This window comes from Homo sapiens, chromosome 8 (assembly GCF_000001405.40).
Source record: "Homo sapiens chromosome 8, GRCh38.p14 Primary Assembly".
NCBI classification, from domain to species: domain Eukaryota; kingdom Metazoa; phylum Chordata; class Mammalia; order Primates; family Hominidae; genus Homo; species Homo sapiens.
The window spans coordinates 46,954,395-46,971,327 of NC_000008.11; the positions used below are offsets into that span (position 1 = coordinate 46,954,395).

Here is a 16,933-nt window from a genome sequence, read left to right on the forward strand (position 1 = left end):
ATTCAGGCCTTTGGCTGATTGGATGGGGCCCACCCAAATTAGGGAGGGCTCTCTTCTGTACTTAATCTAAGATTACAATGTTCATCTCATCCAAAAGCACTCACGGAGACCTGCCCAGAGGAATGTTTGCTCAAATCTCTGTGTAGCGCACAGCCAGTCAAGCCGACGCCTGGAATTAACAGATCAATGGTGACTGAAGTTTCAGACTGGCCTCACACCAACCCTGATGAGATTCGGGGTGGAGAGAACTTTGTCAAGTGCTGCTGAAGGATGAATGGGATTAGTAACTAGGCAGCGGGAGATGGAAACCAGAGCACGGGGCTCACGGGGTGGTGGTTGGCTGGCACTGGCTGCGCGGCAGCTGAGGGGGTCCCCCGGAGCACCCGCGGGGTCCTGGTGCACTCAAGCCTCTCCGGAGGCGGCCGTCTTTGTCCTTAAGGTGGAGTGCCGCCCGGGCCTCCAGGGTGATCGCCGGCGCAGGGATGCAGAGCCGCTGCCTTTCTGGGCGCAGGGAAGGGGCCAGCGACTGCGGTGCAGGGAGGCTGCGAAGTATCTGCAGGAGGAGGGTGAGGCCGGCTGGCTCCGGGAGGATGGGATTGGCAAAGGCCTGTAGGACCCGGGGGTGTCAGGGATTCTCCCATTCGATTTCTGTCTGTTTGCGACCCCTGTGAGGCGCGAAAGAACAGGAGTGGCGGACGCTCACGGCTTTGGACCTGGGGGTCCTGCATGGCGGCCTCAGGCGTGCCCGACGCTTCCCTTCTGAAAAGCGGGGAGATTTTCCTGGAGGAGTGATTTCCTGAAGAGCCATGGCCGGAAGCCCTGAACTTTCATGGTCACAACCAACCCCAAGGAAAAGGGAGTGTGGGAGCCGGCGTCCCACATTGGAGCAGTGGACCCGGTCCTGTGGCCCACAGGTGTGCTGCCGTCCCCGCCTCCAAGAGCAGAACTAACTCATGTAGCCATGCCTGAAGGATGTCAGGGCTATCAACAGAAAAGAAAGGCATCTCTATGGGGGACAAGGCATCTCTGTGGAGACATTATTCTTTGTCACTTGTTCAGCATTTTGCAATTTATTTTATTTTATTTATTGTCATCGTATTCTTATTCCATCAAGTAGGACAAATAACCCCAATTTTCTGACTTGTCCGGACTGGGATTTGTTTTCAGTCAAGATGGGGGTGAGATCGCTTTTCTTCCTATGCATTTGTAAACATCTGATCCCGGATCTCTGCTGCGGATGCTGGAAGCGATGGGGCGGTGGGGCCTGTCTTGGCTAGTGTGGGCTCCCCAGAATCAGCATGCTGGGGTGTCTCTCAAAGGGAATTGCAGGCGACTCCGCTACCAGGGCTGTGCACAGAACCGAGAGCAAGGCAATGGCAGGGGTCTGGAGAAGAGAGATCCAACGGGCTTCCCCTGCCGTCACAGGTGTCCCCTGAGACTCAGAGTGGAGAACCACACTGTAGGACAATCACGGGAGCCAAAGTAAACCAGAGTCAAAGCAGGCAGAGATTCTGCACATTTCCTGGCTGGAGGATGCTGTGGGAAGGCAATCAGGTCCAAGGCCTGGGCAGGTTGTCAAGCAACAGGTTTATGGTGACCTCCTATCTGGGCTGTCCTGGGAGAGTCCCAATTTCAAGTATGTTATCCAGTTTGTTAGATATGAGTCTCTATTTTATTAATTCAGTTGTATTTGACACCTGTTCTATGCCTGGTGCTGAGCTGGGGCCTACGCTACAGTCAGAACCAAGGTGTGGACTCTGTTCTTAGGTTGCTGACCGGTGAGGGAGGCTGAGGATTATAATACAGAGTGATGAACTTTGTAGATTGGGTGCCAGGTCCACCACATCATAACCTCATCTCCACTTCAACACTGTTGTAGCCACTTTTCATTATTCTGACCTGATGCTATTTTAGGGTATAAAAGATTTTATCACATCCCCTGGGGAAAGGAAGACTCAGTGCTTTAGGAATAGCAGGCAATGCATATTAGATCTTGTCTATGTTAACCACAAAATTTCCCACTTTGGCAAACTTCTGCTGAGACATCCTGCCAATGTTCTTCATTATGTCTCTCAAAGTTTCAGTTCCATTTTCCCTGTCTTACAACATAATGAAAAAGCAGCGACGTGATTGGCAAATGTCTATATTATATCTAATTCTCAAAAGGTATTTTACATAGACATGTTTATACCAGCCTGGGCAACACGGCAAAACCCCGTCTCTGCTAAAAATACAAAAAATTAGGGGGTGTGTGGTGGTGCACACCTGTAGTCTCAGCTACTCTGGGGGCTGAGGTGGGAGAATCACCTGAACCCAGGAAGTTGAAGCTGTAGTGAGCAGTGATCTCACCACTGCAGTACAGCCTGGGTGACTGGAGTGAGAGCCTGTAAAAAAAATTAAAAAAAAAAACCACACACACACAAACACAAAACACAAAACATAGACATATCTATAGATGGATGGATGTGGAGGGAGGGACACATCTGGGCACAGATTGTGAGGTTGGACACATACTTTGTATGTGGCACAAGCTTAATCTTCCAGTTAGAGGATTACCTTACATTTGTTCCTTGTAGTGAATTTGCATTTAGCTCCCAACTGATATTGCAGAATAAAAGCAAATAATCATTTTATAATGAAGCTCCCTAAGGTTAGAAAATATGTGCTAAGGAAGACTCCCTTGTAAAACTTATGAGGGAGGGGTAGTGTCCTTGTCCTAATCCGTCACCCACTGCCCTCTGGTGGCTGCAGGGGAAATGGCATGAACGTTGCCTAGCTCCAGGCATTCACACTTAGACATCTTAACAAACTTGCTGTTAGATCGAATCCAAATTCTGTTAAGAGTCAATGTTTTTGGAGTGTCCACTAGTGGGAGCCCTTGTTTTGTCATTTTACACCATGAAAAAATAGGCTCCTTCCCAAGTTCAATGTTTCAGTGAGTTATTTGTTGAGCACGTGTTCTGCCCTGGATTCAGGGCAGAACACAGAGTCAAGGGCTACTGACCTCAGGCCCCGCAGGATGTGGAGAGGGGATGCAGTGAGCAGAACTGGTCCAGATCACAGCTAGGTATGTCTGGCTTCGATCAAATACCGTTTCAAACCAAAGCACATTTATGAAATCCTTCTGATTATACATAAAAAAGCACAGTTTAGAAAATTTAAAAACAATCACCCCACATATCCGTGTACTTTTTATTTTATTATTTTTGGTTTGGTGAAAGGGTGTCACTCTGTTGCCCAGGCTGGAGTGCAGTGGTGCAATCTCGGCTCACTGCAAACTCCACCTCCTGGATTCAAGCGATTCTCCTGCCTCAGCCTCCCAAGTAGCTGGGACCACAGGTGCCCCCCACCATGCCCACTAATTTTTGTATTTTTAGTAGAGACGGGGTTTCAACATGTTGGCCAGGCTGGTCTCGAACTCCTGGCCTCAAGTGATCTGCGCACTTTGGCTTCCCAAAATCATATCTATATGCTCTTATCTGTTTAGATATAGAGTTTTCCTAAAACTGGGATCAACTTTTATTCCCAATTAATTTTGCCCTTAATATGAGCACTCATCTATGTCATTTAATGTTTTGGAAAATATGATTTTAATGTATGTATAGTTTTCCTTAATATATATTATACATAAATTACATGCTTCTATAGTTCCCACTCTCATCTTCTTCCACAACCAAGTCTTGTTTATTTCTGAAAGTGAATCTCAATTGCTATCATCTTGAGACAGGTCTCCAACTGATATATATTAATAATTTGTGATTTCTAGTGTCTCAAAATGGATTCATTCATATTAGGTGGCATTAAGCCCACAGCAAAATTAGTTTTCTTTAAAATGATAAGCATATGTGAGCACTGAAGTTACAGTAAGTTTATTTTTCTTTAAAGTGATAAATATATATATGCTAGACTAAGGTAATGAGATAACACCTGCTGTGGCTGGGTGCCAGGTGAGACCCTGTGGCTGAGATCATGATAGTGAGACCCCTGTGGAGAATCATAAAGGTGGCAAGGGACTGGCAATGTCTGAGGCGCTCTTGGAATCTCAGCCCCTGAGGATTCTGAAAGTCTCCTCCACACTCGGGCAGCTGCAGCCAAGAATGATTGCCTGGAGAGCAGCAGATTTACCCCCCACCAATGGGCACCCCAGGGGGACTTCCAAACTCACTGCAGTTCATCCATCAGTGGGCTGGCCTTCTGAGCATCCACTGTGGTTTGTTATCCCGTAATTATTGCCTTTAATAATTTATTGTGAATGCTTGCTTGATTGTGTGTGAACTCATGTGTCTTTGTTAAAAACTAAGATGCACTGCCAGGTGCAATGGCTCACATCTGCAATCCCAGCACTTTGGGAGGCCAAGCACTTTGGGAGGATTGCTTGAGCCCAGGAGTTTAATACCAGCCTGGGCAACACAGTGAGACATCACCTCTACAAGAAATAAATATAATTTAAAAAAGAAATTAAGACACAAACACACTCATTAGAGTAGGTCAACACAGGGTCAGGATCATCAATCCCCACGACTTCCACCTCCACATCTTGTCGCCCTGGCAGCCCTTCAAGCACAATAGCATGCATGGAGCTGAGCTGTCCTCTCCTGTGATAACAATGCCTTATTCTGGAAAACCTCCTGAAGGACCTACCTGAGGCTGTATTACAGCTAAACCTTTTCATAAGGAGAATGAGTACACTCTAAAATAATGATAAAAAGCATAGTATAGTAAATACATAAACCAGCACACTAGTAGTGGATGACCATTATCAAGCATTGTGTACTGTGTATAATTCTATGGGCTATTCTTTTATATGACTTGCAGCACAGTAGGTTTATTTACACCAACATCACCACAAACACGTGAGTCATACCTTGGGTTATGAAATTACTATGGTAATGGCATCACTAAAGAATAGGAATTTTTCAACTCCATTACAATATTATGAAACCACCATCACATATGTGGTCTATCATTGACCAAAATGTCCTTATACAGCTCATGACTGTAAAGGTGGGGAAAAACGATCAAGTGCTACGTAGTAATACATCAGACTGCTGCAAGGGAGAGCCGGAGACCTCTTCATGGGGTATCTGAAAGGGCATCAGTGAGGTAACATTTGCCTTGGAAGCAGAATGAAAAGTGGAAATGAGCCCTCCAAAAGTCTGGGAATGGCGTGCTGGGGGAAGGTTCAACTGCACAGAGATCCAAGGCAGAAGTGAGTTTGGCCAGGGAGAAGGTGAGAAAGGCAGCCAGTGTGATTGCAGGGAATTTGGGGGGAGAGGAGGGAAGGGAGGCAGAAGGGCAGGGGCAGATTCTGAAGCAGGTAGACTGTATTAGGGATCTATTACTTTATGAAAACATTATTCCAAACACAGGGGCTTACAGCAACAAACATTCATCATCTCACAGTTTCTGTAGCTCAGGAACCCAGCAGGGCTCAGCTGGGTGCTTCTGCAAAAAGGTGTCCCACAAGGCTGGGGCTGCTTTCTCAGCAGAGGCTCACCTGGGGCAGGATCCACTTCCAAGCTCATGGGGTGCTCATTGGGAGAATTCAATTTGCACAGAGGCCCTGAGTGTCCCTCCATCTGTTGCCCTTTTTAGGTCTTAAGACACATGAGAGAGACAGAAAAAACAGATAAATACGGAGAGAAGAGGAGAGAGAGTGCAACATTAACTACAGTCATTTCATAACTAAATCCTGGAAGATACATCCGTGGCTTTTGCCATATTTTACTGTTAGAAGTGAGTCGTTAAGTCCAGTCTACACTCATGGGGAAGGAGTTATACATGATTCATGAACTAGGAGGTGGGAGTCGTGGCAGCCACTAAGGAGGCTGAGATGAAGCATATGGATCTGAATCTAAAAATAACGGGAAGCCACTGCAAGTTTTTTATGGAGAATGTGCAGACAGGAAAATGAGGCCAAGAGAGGAAGTGACATTTCCAAGGTTACACGGCAAGAACCCAGGCATGCTTTCAGTTGCTGGAAAGCATTCCATGCTACGTCCCACCCCTTCCTCTATTTTATCTCTAATTTTGTGCATTGGCTACACATGATGCCGGCCCACAGGTGTTTCTTTTTTTTTAATTTTTTATTTCTATAGGTTTTCAGGGAACAGGTGGTGTTTTGTTATATGAGTAAGTTCTTTAGTGGTGATTTGTGAGATTTTGATGCACCTATCACCAGAGCAGTATACACTGAACCTGATTTTTAGTCTTTTATCCCTCACCCCCTTCCCACCCTTTCCCCATGAGTCCCCAAAGTCTATTATGTCATTCTTATGCACTTACATCCTTATAGTTTAGCTCTCACTTATGAGTGAGAACATACGAGGTTTGGTTTTCCATTCCTGAGTTACTTCACTTAGAATAATAGTCTCCAATTCCATCCAGATTGCTGCAAATTCCATCAATTCATTCCTTTTTATGGCTGAGTAGTATTCCATCATATGGAATATATAGTTTCTTTATCTATTCATTGATTGATGGGTGTTTGGGTTGGTTCCACATTTTTGCAATTGGGAGTTGTGCTGCTATAAACATGCATGTGCAAGTATCTTTTTGTATAATGACTTCATTTCTTCTGGCACATACCAAGTAGTGCAGCCCACAGGCTTCATAACATCATCTCACACGTACCTGAGGACAGCCCCAGGAAGCGGGTGCTAGAATGATCCTCACTGTGCAGGGGCAAACCTGGGGAGACCCTGAGAGGCAAAGTGGGTTATCCAGGGTCACATAAGTGGTAAGGAGAAGCTGGGTCTAAACCCAGGTCTGTCCCTCAAAGCTGGGACCCTGGCTATACCCAGGCCTTCCACAGCAGCTGTAGAGAGGTGATCTTCTTGTAATTACGCACAGATATGGCGATGTCCCAGGGTAGGAGATGAGAAGTCAGCCAAGAGGAGCACTTGGGGTCTTATCACAGGAGGGGCCAGGTAAGGTAAACTCAGGAAATGACCTCACTTCCTTGGCAATAGGTCCCAATAGAACTTGGAATCCTTGTAATCAGGCACCCATAATTTAGAAACAGCTCCCTCCCCAGCTCACTTGGCCAAGATGCTCAAGAAAACATCCTGCTGTAGCCTGACTTATCCAGGCTGTAGCCTCAGGAAACCCTGGCATGAGAGCCTTTTCTGATGCTACAGATGTGGGTTCAGCCCTCACCACAAGCCATTTTCCAGGAGACCCCCAAAGGAAACACAGGCAGCCAGGGCAGGCCAGTCCAGGATAGGCCATCACTGTGAGCATGCCTGGGCAGCCCACACCCCTCTGCCTGAGGGCAGGGGAAAGGGGTTGTAAGGGGAGGTCTGCTCTTGGCAGGAACAGGTGGGTGGGAGGTGTCATCCTCGAGGTCATGTCATGCTAACACCCAGGATCCTGGCTGGCAGAGTGGGAAGGTGACGGCCGGGCTATTCTCATCTTCTCCAAAGTGAATCCCTGACCCTCAGGTGGCCATTTCCTTCCTTCTTGGGTAGAAGTCCTTGTCATACAAGGATCTGTGTGCATAAACAGCCTGGATAATGGCAGGCAGGGCTCTGTGCTTCCTACTCTGCTGCAGGAATTGTCACTACAGAGCTCCATGCAGGAGAACAGCAGGAGCTGCTCGGTGGGGTCCTCTACTATATCTCCCTCCACGAGGGCAGAGGCCCCTCACTGCCAGCAAGGACCATGAGGGCTGCTGCTGAGTGTGGGTGCAGAGAGGACTCCACACTCGGGGACTGAGACAGCCAGAGAGGGCCCTGGGGCCCAGATGCCTCCCTAACCTCCTCCGTCCCAGGGCTTTGCTGCTGGAGGGGGCTGTGCTTCTGCTCCCACAGGCATCTGGGCCCCATGTCCTCCCTATTACAAGACAAACTTGGGACTGTAATGTGCCCCCACAAACTGAGAAGGTGCTATTAGCCCAAAGACTGACTCAGACAAGCTCAGTTTGAGCAGTAGATGAGTTCATTGGGACTTACATGCAGGGCATCCCTGGATGGCAGCAGGACAGCTCTAGAGACCTGTGCCACCTCCCACCTCTAAACTGCTTTTAGGCTGATGTTCTGGCTCTGCCTACTGTGTTTGAGCAGTAAGTTTGTTTGCTTTGGTGTGCTCTCAGATACTCTCTGGGATGTTCGGGTTCTCAGGAACACCTGCTTCTTGGCTAGGAACTGTGGCCTTGGCTCACCGACCAGCATACAAGTTTTGAGCAATTGACATAATGCCCTTAAGTAACCCAGGGAGGAACTCATCACACTACATTCCTCAATGCCACCTCACTGCCCAGTCATGTCCTTGGCCAGGTGCAAAGTCTCTGTTCCACATGTTCATTGGAATATCAAAAAATACACTATTTTATACTATTTCACTTCAGGCCATAATTATTTTGTATTTTACCGTGTTTTGACTTCTGTCCCAGGTATCCTGGTAACAGGTGGCCTGTCTGTGATTCCACATCATCTCCTAGACTCACACATTAGCATGAGTAGTAGCACCGTTTACCCCAAAAGGACAGGGAATTATGCTATTGGGCACATTTCCCCACCATGCTGTCTTGAGGAAGACGTGCCCATAGCCAAGAAGGTTGGGACCAGGGGCCCCTGCTATACAGCTGGAAGGGAGGCCATCACCACAGCAATTCAGCCTTCCTCTGCTGTGGGACCTCCATGGGGTCTCTTCTGTGGCCATTTTCCCGACACCACAGTGAGAATCCTCCTGTGCAATGCACTGCCCCCTCTCACCCGGGTAAGCCTCTGTCTTCTCATCTCTAGAACAGGATATTTTGTCAGGACTCACTGGGATAATCTTCTTAATACAGAATCATTACTCCGCTAACAACCTGATCTGAAAGTACTAATATTTTAAATTATTTCTTTCTGAAATTCTACTTTTTTTTTTTTTGAGACAGGTTGTGGCTCTGCAGCCCAAACTGGAATGCAGTGGTGCAATCACAGCTCACTGCAGCCTCAGACTCCTGTGCTCAAGGGATCCTCTCACCTCAGCTGCTTGTGTAGATAGGACTATAGGTACACACCACCACACTCAGCTGATGTTTTTATTTTTTTGTAGAAACAGAGTCTCACTACATTGTCCAGGATGGTCATAAACTCCTGGCCTCAAGTGATCTTCCCACCTTGGCTTCCTGAAGCAGTGGGATTATAGGTGAGAGCCACCATGCCTAGCCTAGAATAGGCAAATTGCTGGAAAAATTTATTGAGACAGAAAGTAGATTCATAGTACCCTAAGGTCAGGGGTTGAAAGGAAAAGGGATGGTGACTGCTAATGGGTATGGGGTTCCTTTTTGTATTGGTGAAAATGGTCTAAAGTTGGTCATGGTGATAGTTGCACAATTTTATGAATATGCTAGAACTATTAAATTGTACACTTTAAATGAGTGAATTGTATTTGAATTATATCTCAATAAAACTATTTTTAAAAAGATGTCTGACTAGTGCAGCAGGGTATAAGAGAGAGAGGCAGGTAGACGGGTGCAGGGGCATTGTGGCTTCCACTCCAGGCTGAAATCTCTCAGAGGAGTTAGGGCTGAGGGGAAAGCCAAAGGCAGAGGGGCTGTTCCCCTGTTCACTGTTTTGAACTTTGGTTGGATGGGGCTGCAATCACAGAGCAAGATGTGCTATGGCAGGGCAGAGGGAGTCTCGTTAGCATACTGGGGACCTGAAGGCCACAGGGGAGGTCCATGATCACCAACTCTGCTGCAAGCTGACACCTGCTTCCAGGGGCCACCATGGTAAATGGGTGTGAACCTGTTGCAAAGGCCATAGCACAAACAGCCCTCCAGAAAACAGACATGGCCATGGAAGAGACTTGGGGTTGGGGTGGTGGGGAAAGGGCCCACAGCCCCACCAGGCACTGACCCAGAAAAGAGAGTAAATACATCATCACCAGGCACACCTTAGCAGAATCTGCAGGCACCAGGAAACATAGCCAGCTGGTGGCTCTAGAGCAGAAATTAGTGAAGACTCAAAGAACTCATGCAGACCCAAAACCCCTTTCTTACATTACATATGCCCATTGCCTGGGCCACCACCATGGATACCCGAAAGGCTGAATATTTACCCCAAGAGACAGAGCCAGGTGCTAAGAGACTATCTGAACTGTAAGAGAATGAGACAATATTAAATGGAAAATTGAAAGGGTTTCACTCCAACTCCCCCTTGTATCCCAGCATGGTGGAGGCTGGTGAGAGAGCCAATTAGTTATAAAAAATGGATTCTACCTTTTCTTTGCCTGAGTAAAAGTGTATATGACTTTTAATTCCATTACATACTCTTTGACCGAGAGAGAACAGAGATCATTCCGAATCCTGGCAGGCAGTTTCTCTCACTGGACAATCTCCCACTCTGGAACTCTTGTGGCTGTTCCTGCTAATTTTGCAAACCTGAAAGTCAGACTTTTATGCCTGTCACCCATGCTGTGTTAGGAGGCTCTGTGGAGAGTCATATATATCTTAAGTTTTCCTGGGTAAGTTTTCTGGAGTATTCATTTATGTGTGAAACAGACTTGGTCCCAAACCATTTGAACTCGGGAGAATGAACTGTCATTGGTTCAGGGAGTTAAAACATATTTCCCCAGGAGCTGATGATTTCAAAAGGGTATTTTTTTATTCTGAGCTAGATAGACATTCATCATCAAATAGGTATATAGCATATGTCTTCATTTCTGGCCATCAACTCCAGATGTAGGCTCTGACTGGATTTCTGGCCAGTCTCACTGAGTTAATATTTGGATGGAGCTTTAAAGTTTTCATAGTACCTTCCTGTGCATTTATCACATCAGGCAGTGGTACTGGTAGTGAATGATTTGTGCCTTTGTCTGCTGATCCAAACACCTTGCCTATGGGGTTTTGCCTCTTTCTAAGAATTTCTTCAAGAGGCTAATTCAGTTACTCAAAGCATGAAAGAACTTAAAGCAGAAATAGCATTTGACCCAGAAATCCCATTACTGGGTATACACAAAGAAAAATACATTGTTCTACCAAAAAGACATTTGTACCTTTATGTTCATCACAGCACTATTCACAATAGCAAAGACATGGAATCACCTAGGCGCCCATCAACTGTGGATTAAAGAAAGAAAATGTGGTATATATACACCATGGAATACTACACAGCCATAAAACAACAAAATCATGTCCTTTGCATCAACATTGATGGAGCTGGAGGCCATTATTCTAAGCAAATTAATGAAAGTACAGAAAAGCAAATACTGAATGTTCTTACTTATAAGTGGGAACTAAACATTGAATACACATAGACACAAAGATGGAAACAACAGACACTGGGGCCTACTAGGTATGCAAGAGAGGGAGGGAAATGTGTGCTGAAAAACTACCTGCTGGGTACTATGCTTACTACCTGGGTGATGGGAGCATTTATACCTTAAACTTCTGCATCATGCAATATGTCCATCTAACCAATTTGCACATTTACCCTTCAATCTGTATTAAAAGTTGAAATTTTCTAAAAATTAAGCAAACAAACAAAAATAAAAATACATTGAACTAATTAAAAATGCAAACACAACTTAACATTTGTGGGAAACTTCTTACGCATTGCTGAAATAGGAAGTTATAACACTACATCTATATATCAGAAAAGGGAGTGGCCTCAAATCAATAATCTAAGCTCCCAACTCAACAAACTGGAAAAAAAGAGCAAAATACATCTAAAACCAGGAGGAAAAAAGAAATCATAAAGATAACAACTTCAATCAATGAAATCGAAAACAACAAAATACTATAAAGAAAATCTATGAAACCAAAAGTTGGTTCTTTGTAAAGATCAATAATGTTGTCAAACCTCTTGCAGTGATTACAAAGAAAAAAGAAGAAACAAATTATTAATATCAAAAGTATTGGGGAACCTGCCCCAATAGTCACGTAGGTTCTTTTCTATTTTCCCTAAGCGTCAGCTGGTTTGAGAAATAAAGGGACAGAGTACCAAAGAGATAAATTTTAAAGCCGGGGGAGACATCACATGTCGGTAGGTTCCATGATGCCCCACAAGCCGCAAAACCAGCAAGTTTTTATTAGGGACTTTCAAAAGGGGAGGGAGTGTACGAATAGGGTGTGGGTCACAGAGATCACGTACTTCGCAAGGTAATAGAATATCACAAGGCAAATGGAGGTAGGGTGAGATCACAGGACCACAGGACCGGGGTGAAATTAAAATTGCCAATGAAGTTTCAGGCACTGCTGTCATTGATAACATCTTATCAGGAGACAGGGTTTTGAGAGCAACCAGTCTGACCAAAATTTATTAGGCGGGAATTTCCTTTTCCTAATAATCCTGGGAGCGCTATGGGAGACTGGGGTTTATTTCACCCCTACAGTTTCAACCATAGAAGATGGCCACACCCAAGGGGGCCAGTTCAGAGACCCACCCCCAGGCACGTATTCTCTTTCCCAGGGATGTTCCTTGCTGAGAAAAAGAATTCAGTGATATTTCTCCCATTTGCTTTTGAAAGAAGAGAAATATGGCTCTGTTCCACCTGGCTCACCAGCAGTCAGAGTTTAAGGTTATCTCTCTTGTTCTCTAAACATTGCTGTTATCCTGTTCTTTTTTCAAGGTGCCCAGATTTCATATTGTTTAAACACACATGCTCTACAATTTGTGCAGTTAAAGCAAGTATCACAGGGTCCTGAGGTGACATACATCCTCCTCAGCTGACAGGATTAAGAGATTAAAGTAAAGACAGGCATAGGAAATCACAAGGGTATTGATTGGGGTAGTGATAAGTGTCCATGAAATCTTCACAATTTATGTTTAGAGATTGCAGTAAAGACAGGCATAAGAAATTATGAAAGTATTAATTTGGGGAACTAATAAATGTCCATGAAATCTTCACAATCCATGTTCTTCTGCCATGGCTTCAGTCAGTCCCTCCGTTTGGGGTCCCTGACTTCCCGCAACACAAAAGGAAACAGGTTATCACTAGAGGCCCTTCAGACATTTACAGGAAAATAAGAGGCAAATAGGGTCCTTTCTAATTTAGCCTACATAACCAGTTTATCAAAATATTTATGATGTCATAAAAAAGGTTAGAATGTTATAATTTTTTTTTACCGTCTATTTCCCAACTGTTAAAAAATGTCACACATTTTTATTATGGTAACACCTGACTTTGGCAGTTTATATTAGTTAGAGTAACTATGCCTCCATAACAAAACTAACAATAATTTAGTGAGTCAAGCAATTAAAAGTCCCCCCCCCACCAACACCTCTGCTGTCATGTACCAATCAGGCTGGTTCAAGTAAACAGGAAGTTGGCCTCAGATGGTTATTGAGGTACCCAGGCCTGGCAACTCTGCAATCCTTAGCACATGACTTTTGAGGTAACTTCCAAGATCACTCTGCTCATTTCCTTCCTGGCTAAGAGAAACAGGGAATTGAATATGGAGAAAGCATGCTGCTATCTGGAAGACCCACCCTCAAGTGGTACATACCAGTGCCATTCACATTCTACTGCCTAAATTACTCACTTTGCCTCACCCAACTTTCACAAAGCATGGCAAATGTAGTCTATATCTGTGCTCAGTAAGAACAGCAGCATACATTTTGGTGAACAACTACAGTCTCTGACAGAACTGCTATTATCAAATGAGTTAGGAGAGGGTACATAAATTCAGTAAGGGAGAGAATGGAGATCGATTTGAAAGAAATTTTCTCTATTTTCATTGCATGTAGCTCTGGGTGGCTGACATAGTATAAAGGTCTAAGTAAGAGCCAACCACAATATAGAGAATTTAATATTGAGATGTTCTGAATACAAAGAAATATTACCAGTATTGTCCTCTAGGAATTACTTCATTGTCAATTTATAGAGGAAAAAGTATGTGTTGCTGAATCACACTGATATTCAATAATGCAAATTTACGTATAGCAAGTATCACATACGTATTGCTATATGAATCAGCTCAATAAATAATTATTGATTAATAAAATAGAGTTCTATTCCTTTCTAGGGTTATTTTCTAGAATATCTTATCACTTGGAAAAGTACTATTTGGTTATAAAGTTGGATTTTTAAGTGTCAAGAGATAGATTAATATGTGATATGGTTTGGGTGTTCACCCCCTCCAAATCTCATGTCAAAATGTGATCCCCAGTGTTGGAGATGGACACTCACAGGTGGCGTTTGTGTCATGGGGGTGGATCTTTCATGAATGGCTTGGTGCAATCCCTGGGATAATGAGTGAGTTCCTGCTCTATTAGTCATGTGAGAGCTGATTGGTTTTTTTTTTTTTTTTTTTTTTTTTTTTTTTTTTTTTTTTTTTTGAGACGGAGTCTCGCTCTGTCGCCCAGGCTGGAATGCAGTGGCGGGATCTCGGCTCACTGCAAGGAGAGCTGATTGTTAAAAAGAGCCTGGCACCTCCTCCTTTCCCTCTTTTTCCCTCTTTCACCATATAACACACCTGCTTGCCCTTCACCTTCTGCTACAGTTATGTGTCCTGAGGTCTCACCAGAAGCAGAGGCTGGCACCATGCTTGCTCAGCATGCAGAACCGTGAGTCAAATAATCCTCTTTTCTTTATAAATTACCCAGCCTTAGGTATTCCTTTACAGAAACACAAAACGAACTAACACAGTATGCATTACCAAAAGCATGATTTTACTTAATAAAGTTAATTAATGAATGATTTACATTTCATATTGAATATTTATTTTAAAACAGATCCATTAGAGCAAAATTTTGAAAAATATTAAGATTTAGAACAGTAATAAAATCTCTAATCCTTGACTGTTTTATTATTAATTGTTTTTCTAATCATAGTATTTTAACCAGCTATCTTTGGTATAGATGCTGAAAATATTTAAATTTTATATGGTTTTAAAACTATTAATACAAATATGAAAGCAAATAATTTTGTCTACCATTATTCTTTTTGTGTTTGTGTGTGTATATGTATTCTAGGTATGTTTATGTATTGTTAAAATTTGCATGGGTCTATAATAGCAATCTTAATCTCAATACAAATGCAAGAGAGAATTAAGGCCAATAGTTAGAAATATTTTGCACAAGCAAAAACAAAAAAATGCACGCATGTAATAGTAAACTATTAACAAGGAAAAAGTGGGATTGTTGCCTTGATGAACTTTACATGGATGTAATAGGGGAAGTCATTTAGTGGTTAACTCTTCATGCTGTGAGAGGCATTGTCTATTTGTCTGCAGCATTGGAAGTGCAGGCAGAATGAGCTGGGGCTGACATATTTGAATTTGATGGGGCTCGTCTACAACCAAAACCAGAATATATCCTTATACTAGGACACAACATTGTTTCTAAGAACTTAACTTTAGTTTCTTTTTATTTAATAACTCAAAATTGAGCCAAATTTTTTAGGAAGCTCGCATAGGTTTACCTTCTTAAAACAAATTTTTATTTCAAGTTATTTTGGGAACATAATAGGTATATCCATATGTATTATGGGATCCATGTGATGTTTTTATACAAGCATACAATGTGTAATGATCAAATCAGGATAATTGGGGTTTCCATCACCTCAAATATTTATCATTGTTTTGTGTTAGAAACATTCCAATTCTACTCTTTTCATTATTCTAAAACAGGCATTTCATTCACAATGGCCACTTAAGTGAAAACAAAAAAATATTGCTGTTACATAACAGCATATAGGTGATTTTCTTGATAGAATTACTTTGAAAATCAGGAAGGCATTTACCGTCTTATCAAAGCATGTGCGGGTACTTCTCTGGGCCAATCTGGAGTGTATCCGATGATGGTCTCTAAGCCATCTCCTTTATTTAAAGGGATTTCACTTGCACTGTAGTACATTTAGATAATAACATGGGACAGAGTCAGGACTGAGTAAGCTGTTGGCCAAAAGAGTGTAAACAAAATGAAAATTTCAAGTAGAGTCTTGTGAATTGTTTATTAATGCCACATTTATTCCAGGAGAATACTGGCACTGAAAGTAATTTGCTTTTCTAATTGAGATTTTTATACTCTATTTTTTCCTCTTAAAAAAAGAATTATTTTAGTTTCTAAGAAGTTTTGCTTTCCTCGTAAAATAAGATCTTGTTATACAGTTTCAATTATCTTATTTTTATTTTTATGTAATTGATTTCTCTATTAGTTTAAAACCATTTGAAATAGATAAAAAGTTAATTTTATATAAACAAGACATTCCTCCAAAATGGGAGAAGAAAATGGTCTAACTTTTCTGCTTGTCATGATATTTTAAACTCATCTAATTCAGGGACTGTGTCCTTCAAAAGTTTCTAGGGTGACTTGTGCAGAACATTACACAGAGTAAGATCCTTAAACATTTTATAGAAATATTGGCCGGGCGCGGTGGCTCACGCTTGTAATCCCAGCACTTTGGGAGGCCGAGGTGGGCGGATCACGAGGTCAGGAGATCGAGACCATCCTGGCTAACATGGTGAAACCCCGCCTCTACTAAAAATGCAAAAAATTAGCCGGGCATGGCGGCGGGCGCCTGTAGTCCCAGTTACTCGGGAGGCTGGAGGCAGGAGAATGGCGTGAACCCGGGAGGCGGAGCTTGCAGTGAGCCGAGATTGTGCCACTGCACTCCAGCCTAGGTGAAGGCAGAGCAAGACTCCATCTCAAAAAATAAAAAATAAAAAATAAATATTTCTTAGATAACATTTGATGGAGATTTCTTTTTCATTTGCACAAAATACAGAATTAGAAACCTCACCTAGAGTTGCTGTTTAATGTACACGTTTTCCAAGACAATAGGTAAACAAGGAAGATCCCTTTATAGCTTAGTGAAAACTATGATGATATTAAATTTTAAGTTTCTCAAGAGTAAAGACCATACTTTGATCATAGTCACATTTCCAAGAAAATCTAACATTGTTTTCTAATGAAAGTAGGTGTTTAATAAATATTTTTTTCTTTTAACACAAACAGATACAACATGAAGGACAAGTGGCCAAGTTTATTTTATTTTATTT

At 43.1% G+C, this 16,933-nt stretch overlaps 1 annotated feature.

Moving 5' to 3' along the window:
- Positions 2,737 to 2,866: a silencer, noted in NCBI's record as "silent region_19168". NCBI's record gives its function as "represses an Ori minimal core promoter by ATAC-STARR-seq in GM12878 lymphoblastoid cells {active_cell/tissue: GM12878}" and the evidence as "EXISTENCE:reporter gene assay evidence [ECO:0000049][PMID:35858748]".